The 11,891-nt window shown below is 46.2% G+C and overlaps 1 annotated feature.

Moving 5' to 3' along the window:
- Positions 389 to 683: an enhancer, noted in NCBI's record as "tiled region #13289; K562 Activating DNase matched - State 12:CtcfO". NCBI's record gives its function as "activates a minimal TATA promoter and a strong SV40 promoter by Sharpr-MPRA in K562 cells {active_cell/tissue: K562}" and the evidence as "EXISTENCE:reporter gene assay evidence [ECO:0000049][PMID:27701403]".

The following is an 11,891-nucleotide window of genomic DNA, read 5'->3' as shown; positions in this document are numbered from 1 at the left end:
CACCTTATCTCTCCCCATGGAATCATCATTGTTCCTGTCAACCAGGCTCAAAATCTTGGTGCCATCTAGAAATCATAACCTCCATTCCCCGTAACATCTCCATTCCCAGGCCCTGCTGGTTTTTAATACGAATCTCTCGTCTTCATCCCAATGACCCAGTGAGGCAAGACTATTGTATCTTCTCTTTGTAGATGAAGAAATGGAGGATGAAAGAGGTCACGCGCCTTGCCCAAGATCACACAACTACTAAAGGTTAGAACTTAACCATGTCCTCTGATCACGAAATTTGAACAAGGAACTAATTATTTCGTGTAAAAAAATCTTGTCTCTGCACCTACCTCAAGAGCTCCTAGAAGCAAAGGCCATGACAGTGCTACATCTGCATCTCTTATGTAGAGTCTAGCATTTGTGTTGACTGGAAGAACCAGAGCTATGAAGGCCAAAGTTAGAAAGATGTAACCCAAGATGTAACCCAGACTCAGCGTCCTAAGAGTTGATGCTCTGGAAGTCCACTAGGTGGCAATGTTTCCTCCATGTAGGAGGCCATCCCAAAGCCAAAGTGCAGGGTGCTACTGAGAGGCTAGGTTGAAAGTGACCACAGCATTTGGATTTGAGGTGGTTTCCAATGAGACACACACACACCATGTTTAGAATCTTGCTGGGCATTCAAACACTGATGAAATCTTGGGGACTGTTATTAGGCAGTGGTAGAGCATAGACAAGATTTGTTTTCTAGTCTAATCCTTGACATTACCGAACAAGATGACCCTCAGGGAGTCTCAAGCTCTCTCAGCTTTTATTTTTATCATCTGCAAAGTAGGGATAAGAATATATGCTTGCTTTCGGCTAGGCACGGTGTCTCACGCCTGTAATCCCAGCAATTTGGGAGGCCAAGGCAGGTGGATCACTTGAGGTCAGGAGTTCGAGACCAGCCTGGCCAACATGGCGAAACCTCGTCTCTACTAAAAACACAAAAAAATTAGCTGGGCATGGTGGCGCACACCAGTAGTCCCAACTACTCAGGAGGCTGAGACAGGAGAATCGCTTGAATCTGGGAGGCAGAGGTTGCAATGAGCCAAGATCACACCACTGCACTCCAGCCTGGTGACAGAGTGAGACTCCATCTCAAACAAAAACCCCAAAAAACCCCCAAAACACAAAAATTAGCCGGGTGTGGTGGCAGGCACCTGTAGTCCCAGCTACTCAGAAGCAGGAGAATCGCTTGAACCTGGGAGGTGGAGGCAGTAGTGAACCGAGATCACGCCACTGCATTCCAGCCTGGGTGACAGAATGAGACTCCATCTCAAAAAAAAAAAAAAAAAAAAAAAAAAAAATCTGCTTGCTTTCACTCACAGACAGGGCCATTATGAGGCTTAAGTTGAATACATGTGAAACTAGAGATGGCTTTACAGATGTAGTTTATTATAATTATGGATGTTATGAAATTAACTTACCCATTAGTTCAATAATTTATTTTGTAGAAAAGCATTACCTAAAATCTTGCTATTCAAAGTGTGGTCCACAGACCAGCAGAACTGGCATCACCCCAGAACTGGTTAGAGCTATAGAATGAGTCTGCTGTGGACTGAAAGTTTGTGCCCCGCCTCCAGCCAGGATTTCTATGTTGAAGCCTGAATCCCCAATATGATGGTGTTTGAAGTTGGGGTCTTTGGGAGGTGATTAGGTCATGAGGGTGGGATCCTCAGAATGGGATTAGTTCCCTTATAAGAGGAGACATGAGAGAGATGATCTCTGTTCTCTGCCACATGAGGATACAGCAAGAGGGTGGCTGCCTATAAGCCAGGAAGCAGGCCCTCTCCAGATATGGAATCTGCTAGCACCTTGATCTTGGACTTCCCAGCTTCCAGAACCATTAGAAATAAGTGTTGTTTCAGCCACACAGTCTGTGGTATCTGTTATAGTAGCCCAAACTGACTAAGGCAGAACCTCATCCTAGACCTTCTGAATTGTAACACTGTGCATTTTAACAAGATCTCGAGGTAATTTGTATGCACAGTAAAGTCTGATATTAGTTAGAAAATGATTAGTTTTAGCGAATTAATAAAATAGCAAGAAAAACAAGCTCTGGAGTTGCTTGGGTGTTAATACTGATTTTGTTCAATTCAGTGACCCCCATAATATGAAAAGTGGCTGCTATGATGAGCCTGAATCTTGTTAAGCAAATTGTTTGCAAAGCTTAAAAAATGTGTCTGTATCCAAGTTAGGTTCTAGCGGGTGACTTGAAGTTGAAACAAAACATTCCCATATTTCAATCAGTCAGGATAGACTAGGTTATGCTGCAGTAACAACCAACCTGGCATTTCAGAGGCTTTAAAAGCCCCGGGTGTGTGTGCATCACAGGTGGGTAGGCGGATTCTACTCAGTCCCTCAGGGGTCCAGGCTAGTAGAGCAGCCACCACCCCAAATACTGCAGCGAAGAGAGCTCTGGGGTGGGGGGTCTTGCACTGGCAATTACAGTTCAGCTCGTATTTAACACACAGCACTTCTCCCACAAGCCATTGGTCAAAACTAGTCCCTTGACCCCATCTGCCCACAGCAGGGCAGGAAGCGCAATCGTATCCTGTGCTTAGAAGGTAAAGAGATAGAGCTATTCGGTGAACAGCACTAATAACTGCTACAAAGGTTATCACTGAGTTGGTTGGAACAGCAGCTCCCAGAACTGGGTGTACAGAAAAATTGACTAGGGCTAGCTTGTAAAATGTACAATTCCAGAGCCCCACCGTAGGGACTCTGAATCAGAATCAAGGAATCAAGTGCACCAGGTGGTTCTGATGCACTCTCTCCACAGACCAGGCTTTGGAAGCCCCTGGCTTTGAGTCCTCCTATCCCTTGATCCCATATTGAAGTTTCCTAGCACGCCATAACAAATGACCCCAAACCTAGTGCCTTCAAACAGCAGATATGTCTTCTCTCCCAGCCTCTTTTGGCTGCCGGGGCCTCGGCACTCCTTGGCTTGTAGCTGTGTAACTCCCTTTTCTGCCTATCTTCACGTGGACTTCTGCTCTGTATGTCTGTGGCTTTTCTTTTTCTGTGGATTATAAGGGGCAATTGTCATTGGATTTAGGGCCCACCTGGGTAATCCAGGATGCTCTCATTTTACGATCCTTAATTACATCTGCAAAGGCCCTTTTTCCAGATAAGGTCACATTGGGGGAACATACCTTTTGAGGGGTGTCATTCAATCCACGACAAGCACTCACAGTCACAATGAATCCAGTCTTTGCCCCTTCTGTCTGAACAGCAAGGAGCGGGCTTTGAGAGCCTCACACCACAAGGGGTCAGGCAAGCCTCATGTTTCTGCGGCTTGGGGCCCTCGGCGCCCCGCAGTCCTTTCCCTGTTGGGAAATGCTCCATGCTCCCCTGGTGGGGGTCAGTCTGGGTGAGCTGCCAGCTGGGATCCCGGACCCAACAGCCGATTTTCTCCTCATCTTCCCACAAGAAATAGAGAGATTGCTTGCTAAGAAAGCACCTCCATTTGAGCAGCATGCTCTGAAATCATTGCAGGAACTTAGATATTTCAGCAGCCTCCGACCCATCCAGGACCTGTGTGCTGATGGCCTCCCCTGCCTCAGCTGTGAGGGCTGTGTTCTTGAAAGCTCCCAAGGTTGGAGAATTCCAGGTGGATGGTCATAAGACATTAGGAGGAAAATAGGTGTGGGCATTCAGGTAATCAGACGAACGCTTATTTTCATGTTCTCTAAAAGATGATAGTAATGACCACACATTAAATAGAACACTTCAATGTCATTTGACACATCTTGAATAATAATAATGGCTCCTCAACAATTATTTTTCATTTAAGTAATTCCTGTGCTCTTCAGAAACATTTTAGCGCGTTCAATGAGAGTTTAGACACGGATCTTGCTTGGCTTTTGAGATTAGGCCAAGGAAGGGGGACAGTGTTTTGTGTGTGTGCTTTGGCATTCAGGACCAAAGTGCTTGACATTTTACAACAAGGAGTCCCCAAGTCACCGTCCCTAGGTCATCACCTGGCACACCTGCGGTTTCTCTGCACGGATGGTTGCCGAGAGGCACGTGGAAGTGCGTCGGAGGGGACTCGAGTTTTTCTTGAGCATATTCGCAACAGAAGGGTGGGCTTGCTAGGAGCTTGGACCATCAGACCCTGGCCTTCTGGTCACACTGGCCCCATTGCCACAAGCTGTCAGCCGTGTAGTCACGTCCTCAGAGAGCCCAGCCCAAACAGCCACAGCCTGCATCTCCTTTTCATTGCACTCACTGTGAGGTCCCTCCGTGGCTAGATGGTTGTTTCAGTGTTTCCTTGGTTTCACGTTTGGCATTTTCCCTCCTGGGATGTTCCCGGGGGAACAGTGCCTTTTATATGCAACCCTCTGAGGGTGAGGCCTTGCCCATCCTCCTCTCTGCAGCTTCCCTGGTGCTTTGTAATGTCTAGCACTGAGTAGGTCTTTGATAAATGTTCTTAGGAAAAATGAGTGTCCGCTTGGTTGTGCCTGGAGCTGACCTTCAGGGAGACCTGCTTCTGTTTGTGCAGAAACATTTCCCTCTGGGAAAAGGAAATCTTCTGTTTATTACTGTGAAAGTTTCTTTTTGACCTGGGGACTTTTCAGAGCCTTCAATATGCAGGATGTGAATTATAATGGCCACGAGGGGAATTTAGCGTGGGAATATCAACCTTCTGTCTTCCCGGCTTGGAGCTGTTTTCCCAGAGAAGACCCAAGGCAGGCCCAGGTTCCATCCCCCTGTCTGGTTGTACTGGCCAGCGAGGGCTCCCCACTGGCTGGGGGACCCTTGTCTCTGCCCTGCCAAAGAGAAGTGGCATGAATTCTGGCAGAGCCCTGAACTCTGTGTTGCAGTGGCCATCTCCAAGCTGTGTCACGGTGAGCAAGTCACCTGGGCTCTTTGGGCCTGGGTTTCCTCACTTATTTCATTTAATCAACACATGTTTATTGAGTGCCTGTTAGGTGCTTGGCACGCCACTAGGAACTGGGGCTAAAATAGTGAGCAACGAAGACAGTCCTTCCTTCATGGAGCTCTCAGTGTGGTCAGGAAGAAAGACGCTTCCAAACAGCCCATGTACCAGTCTAAAGATGCAACCATGACGAGCTCCATGGAGAAGTCACAAATGGCATCTGAGATCCTGGGATGGGAAGAGTTGACCTAATGAGGGTGGAGAGCCATGTCAGGGAAGGCTGCTGGAGCTGGAATCCGAAGGCAGGGAAGAGCCACCCATGCACAGGAAACTGCACGGGAACTTCATGGGCTCAGGCAGTTTGGTGGGCGTGACTGTGGCAAAAGGATGCCAGTGGGTCTGGGGCAGAGACAGTGAGGAGGTGGGGAGCAGCAGAAGCCAGAGAGGAGGGCAGGAGAAGGCAAAGGAGGACCTTGTGGGCCACATTAGGGGGATGAGGCTTTACCCTGAATCTGTGGAAAGCCATTGATGTGTCTGATGTCTGTGCATGCAGGGGTGGGTGGCACAAAGCTGACACATGACCAGATTTGCATTTTGAGAAAGCACCGTTCTGGGCAATGGATTGAAGATGAACCAGAGTAGGCAGCAGTAGGCCAGACAGGAGGCTAGTGCTATCATTCAGACGGGAGAAGGTGGTCATGCAGAATCAGTCCTCGAATCTTTATTGAGCATCTACTACATGCCAGGTTTAGTGAGAAGGGAGATAGACAGTAAGTATAATAAATAAGTAAATACATTGCAAAGTATTATGTGCAATGGAAAAAGAAAAAGAAATTGAAGAGGGTAAGCAAGATTGGGAATCGGGATGGCTTGATGGCAGAGATCCTTAGAAGATAAAAATGGCGGTGCTCTATGAAGAAGGATCAGGTTGGGGGGATTAAGTGAGAGACAGTTGTCAAGGCCAATTCCTAGGTTTTTGGTTTGTGCAATTGAGGAATGGTTTAAAAAGAGTTGCCCAGGCGTGGTGGCTCATGCCTATAATCCTAGCACTTTGGGAGGTCGAGGCGGGCAGATTGCCTGAGGTCAGAAGTTTGAGACCAGCCTGGCCAACATGGTGAAACCCTGTCTCTACTAAAAATGCAAAAAAATTTAGCCAGGCATGGTGGCGGGCATCTGTAATCCCAGCTACTCGGGAGGCTGAGGCATGAGAATCACTTGAACCTGGGAGGCAGAGGTTGCAGTGAGTCGAGATCAGCCACTGCACTCCATCCAGCCTGGACAACAAGAATGAAAGTCTGTCCCAAAAAAAAAAAAAAAAAAAGAAAAGAAAAGAAAAGAAAGAAAAAGCATATTAGACCAAACATTACTCTTCTTTCTGATTCTGTAGTCCCATGGGCTCTGAGACAGTGACCCCATCACCTCACCTCAGCTGTTGCAGATGGGTCTGTAATCTTATCTCCACAACCCCAGAGGACTTCCTGCTTTGGAAGCCCCTGTCCTGGATTTGCCACATAAGGATGCGGGCGCTGTTGCTGTCTGCGTGTGGCAGGTCCACTCTGTGGTCCACTGGAGTTCCTGTTGTATCTCCATCAAACTCTCTCCCTGGGGTTGGTCACATTTGCCCCAGGAGAGTGCTTACTGATTAGGGCTCAATTAACATTCAGTATTGGTGCTACTCATTGCTGCCAGCATCCTCCGTGTAGCCCAGCCCTTACCACATCCTCCAGCCTACTCGGTGTCATCTGTCTCCTGAAGCAATTCTACCTTGACCCTCCTGGCTGGTGACCAAAGAATAAGGTGCTGCGGGGTAGGTTTCTTGAGTTGGGCTGGGAGGAGGGAGCAGGAGCTTTAGTAGCTGAACTCTAAGATCTGCCTATTTCCAGGGTCCTGGGCCACCTGGCAGGACTTCCCACAGCTGGCGATTTCCAGTAGAATCCCAGTGACAAGAGAGAGATGGGGTTGGCTGACCCCGAGACTTGAGTCTGAGTAGTCCCTGCTGTGCCCTCACTATAGAAAGGCTGAGGCTTCCTGTCAGGCTCCACCTTGGCACATGCCTGGCGTGGACAAAGAGATATGACAGAATAAAACCATAATTAACATGTATTAAATGCTTCCTATGTGCTGAAGAGCTTTCCATGGATTACTTCATTTAAACCTCAGAGCAACTCTGTGAGGTAAGTGCTATTAACATCATCTTTCTCATTTTAGAGGTGATGTAATCAGGCTTGTATAAGCTGCCCAAGGTCACAGAGCTAGCAAAGTACAGAGCTAGATTCACACCCAGGCCAGCTCTGCTCTGAACCACTGTGCTCCAGCAACTGATGGCTCAGCCTGGAGGTTACCCGACAGGGGATCCCAGTGTTTGGACTCAGTCCTGACTTTGCATTGCTTTATGCAGCAATTTGGAGCAAGTCCATCTGTTCATTCATTGATTCACCAAATATTGATTTAAGGCCTTCTATGCAAGGGCTGGGGGCAGTGAAATGATGTCATCTTGGAAGAGCTCCCAGTCTGGCTACTGAGACAGACACACAAGCACATCATCAGGGTTGTAGAGGGACAGGTGCTTTATGGAGCAGGAGAGGAGAAGGTGACAATGCTTGTCTGGTATGGGAGTGGGAGGTCTGGGAAGAGGACACGACTTTTGCAGAGGAGAAAGGCGTTTTCCAAGGCTTTCCAGGCAGACAGAACAGGGAGCGCAGAGCACTGGCCCTCGCTGGCCAGTACCCATGATGTTTCAGGGACTTCAGGCTGGCTCTGCGATTACAGCAGAATTTCCCAAAGTGTGGACCTTGGGCCACCTACATTAGAACGATTTGGGGTGTGGGAACATTGCAGGCTTCACCCCAGACCCACTGAATCAGAATCTCTAGCTGCTGGGGCCCAGAAATCTGCATTTCCTCAGTCCCTTCAGGGGATGCTAATGTGTAGGGAAGTCTGGGGTACGCAAGGAGAAGCAGGACAGCAGCCACTTCTGGGTTCATAACAGGGTTGGCAAGCTTTTGCTGGACAGGACCAGACAGTAAAGATTTTAGGCTTTGTGTACAAAGAGGAGAGTTGAAGATACATGCTAAACATAACCACTTACAAAAACAGGTGGTGGAGGGGGCTGGACTTGGCCCATTTTAGTTTGACCTTAACCTGCCCGCTCATGGTTTAGAAAGTTAACCATGTTAACTGGTGTGGGTGCAAGTGAAGACAGGGACATGAATGTCACACCTAGGGAAGCAACGGAAAGGTCTCAAGGGCCATAAAGCCCTAAGAGGGGCAGAGAAGGCTGAGAAATATGTCAGTGGAAGGAAGGACAGCGCTGGTCAAGAGCTTGGCAGGAAGGGGGCGGGCAGAGGAAGGAGGTAGCAACTTGTGCCTTGAGCACTTGAGTGGATGGGGATATTACTAGCTTACTATAGTAGCCTATGTAATAATTTATAAATGAGCTGTGTAATAACCCATATATAAACATAGTCAAGTGCTGAGCAGAGGCCCCATGGATTGAGAACTGGAAGGAAGCCATTGTATTTGGCCCTGTGAGGTAATTAATGACCTTTGTGGGAATAGTTTTTGGAAAGAAGTGAGAGCCAGATGTTGGTGGGTTCAAGAGGAACAGGCAGAGAAGAAATGGAACAGGTCAACCCAATGGGTCTCCCAAGTTCTGGCCTGGTGAGTCCGGCTCCGGTTTCCTTTGGCAGATAGTCACACGAGCCAACAGAAACCACACGATGTGGTCAGTGCTCTATTAAAGGCAGCTGCAAAGAAGTCCAATGAGGTAAATTACAGAACTGTGGATACTATTGTAAAATGCCACTGCCTTTAATCCTGAGCTTCCCAGCAACCATGGTAAAGAGGAAAACATGTTCCTATTGTCCAATATGTTATTCCTAAACTTCCATCATTCTTGAACAACTGTAACATTTTTGCCTTTCCTGTGGTTCTAGCAAAATTGTTACTTACTTGACATTTTAAAAAATCAATACAATTATTCAATTTAATTTAAAAATCTTAAAAACTTGATATTTTTGTAAACGGAAAACCACCATCACTAACCACAAATAGAGGATAATGACACAGATAAGTACATATCATTAAAATTAAGAATTCTTGTCTGTTAATATCACTAAAATAACTAAAATTAGTCTATAGGCTACTTACAATATGCCAGTTACATAGTGGGATAATAAAATAATGCATATAAGGTCAATTGAAGACCATCTTATTTGCTGGCATAAAATTCAAGGAAACATTTATTGCAAAAGACACAGAAATTCCAATCAAATGGATGTTTCTTATGAACCCCTGTAAAAGTTAAGGACATAAGATTTAATCTTAACACACTGAATACTTTTCTGTGGGCAGCTAAGAGAACAGCAGACAAGTATGTTTCTTCTGATGATCTAACCCAGGAGTCTGCAAACTTTTTCTGTTAAAGGGCCAGATATTAAGTAATTTATCCTTTGCAGGCCATATGGTCTTAGTTGCAACAACTCTATTCTGACTATATCGGGAAAGCAGCCATAGGCAATACATAAACAAATGGGTAGGGCTTTCTTTTTGTCTGAGATGGAGTCTCACTCTTGTCATCCAGGCTGGAGTGCAGTGGTGTGATCTCGACTCACTGCAACCTCTGTCTCCCGGGTTCAAATGATTCTCCTGCCTCAGCCTCCCGAGTAGCTAGGATTACAGCTGCCCACCACCACACCTGGCTAATTTTTGTATTTTTAGTAGAGACGGGGTTTCACCATGTTGGCCAGGTTGGTCTCAAACTCCTGACCTCAGATGATCCGCCCATCTCTGCCTCCCAAAGTGCTGAGATTACAGGCGTGAGCCACCGCGCCTGGCCTGTGTTTCAATAAAACTTAATTTATGGACGATGACATTGGAATTTCATATAATTTTCACAGTACAAAATATTATTCTCTTTTGATATTTTCAACCATTTAATAATGTAAAAACCAGCTTTAGCTCGTGGACTTTGCACAAACAGGTAGCGGGCTGCCTTTGGCCCCTGGGCCAGATGTTACTGAATCCTCAGTCAGGACTCGGAGAAGCTAGTGGAATGGAGAATGAATGTGTTCTTAACACTGTTCTCCTCTCTCCATCCCCAGTGCTGAAGGGCTTATACAGACTGGTGGCAAGGCCATATAAGCGATTGGCAGCAGAGTTAGGACTAGAACTCAGAATTTTCTTTTTTGGATTCTGTGCTCTTCCTTGTCTAGATGCTGTCTCCCAGGTAGAGGAAGCCTTTACTCTGTGCCTGGCTGATGTAGATAGAACCTCACTTAATCTCTTTGTAAATAGAACCTCACTTAATCTCCTGGCATCCTTTGTGTGGCATATGATCCCATTTTGCAAATGAGGAAACAGAGGTTTAAAGAGGTTAGGAATCAAAAACTTGCTAAGTCATGGAGCCAGAATTTATACCCAGATCTGTCTGATTGCAGAGACTTACTGTCTGCATTATAATTGTGTAGTCCCTTCCTGTTTCTTTGGGCACTTGGTCACATTGGAACAATGACTGCTAAGGAATTGCCTTGGCCAGGCGTGGTGCCTCATGCCTGTAATCTCAGCACTTTGAGAGGCTGAGGCAGGAAGACTGCTTGAGCCCAGGAGTTTAAGACCAGCCTAGGCAACATAGCGAGACCCCTGTCTCTCTCCATACACGCACACATAAAATTAGCTGGGCGTGGTGGCATGTACCTGTGGTGCCAACTATTCAGGAGGCTGAGGTGGGAGGATCACTGGAGCCCGGAGTGAACCACTGCACTCCAGTCTGGGTGACAGAACAAGACCCTGTCTCAAAAAAAAAAAAAAAAAAAAAGAATTGCCTTGACTTTGATGATGACTCTTTTGCCAGTCTTCTTCCTCTCACCCAGCTGAGCTCATCCCCCACAAGACTGCTTTTTATAAGTGAATGGCTTGTGGGAGAAGAAAGCATAGCTCCTACTTTTCAGAAGCAGATGGGCTCTGTGAAAGATGAGGAGAGGGCAGGGAACACACAAGGGAAGAAAGGCACTGCTTTTCCCCTGGATTCCATTTTTTTTTTTTGAAACGGAGCCTCGCTCTGTTGCCCAGGCTGGAGTGCAGTGGTGCAGTCTTGGCTCACTGCAACCTCTGCCTCCCAGGTTCAAGCAATTCTCTGCCTCAGCCTCCTGAGTAGCTGGGATTGCAGGCACCCGCCACCACACCTGGCTAATTTTTGTATTTTTAGTGGTGACGGGGTTTGACCATCTTGGCCAGGCTGGTCTTGAACTCCTGACCTCGTGATCCACTTGCCTTGGCCTCCCAAAGTGCTGGGATTACAGGCATGAGCCACAGCACCTGTCCTGGATTCCTTTTTAAAAAGAGGATTTTATTGAGGTATAATTGACATACAAAAATAACACATTTAAAATGTACAATTTGACAAGTTTTGACATATTTAAACACCACAATCTAGATAATAAACATATGCATTGTCACCCCCTAGTGCCCCTTTGTAATCACTCCTCACCCATTCCCCTCCTCACTCCATCTCCTGGCAACTGTTCATCTGCTTCTCATCACTAAATACTAGTTTGCCTTTTCCAGAATTTTTTGATCATTGAAATCATACCATACATATTCTTTTTTGTCTTATTCTTTCATCCAGCATAATTACTTTGTGATTCATCTTAGTATGCATCAATAACCAATTCCTTTTCATTGCTGTGTGGTATTCCACTATATGGATATACCAAATGTTTATCAATTCACCTGTTGATGACATTTGGGGATTTTGCAGTTTTTGGTTATTACAAATAAAGTGTCTATGAGCATTCACATATACATTTTGGTATTAACACATGTTTTTATTTCTTTTGTGCAAATATCTAGGAGTAGAATGGCTGGATCATTTATCAAGTATTTTTTTTTGTTTTTTATTTTAGAAAGTGCCAAACTGTTTTTCAAACTGGTTCTACCATTATATATGCCCACCAACAGTGTGTGGGAGTTCCACTTGTTCCAC

Source organism: Homo sapiens, chromosome 14, assembly GCF_000001405.40.
Source record: "Homo sapiens chromosome 14, GRCh38.p14 Primary Assembly".
In the NCBI taxonomy this organism is placed as follows: Eukaryota; Metazoa; Chordata; class Mammalia; order Primates; family Hominidae; genus Homo; species Homo sapiens.
This window is presented reverse-complemented; position numbering and strand designations above follow the sequence as displayed.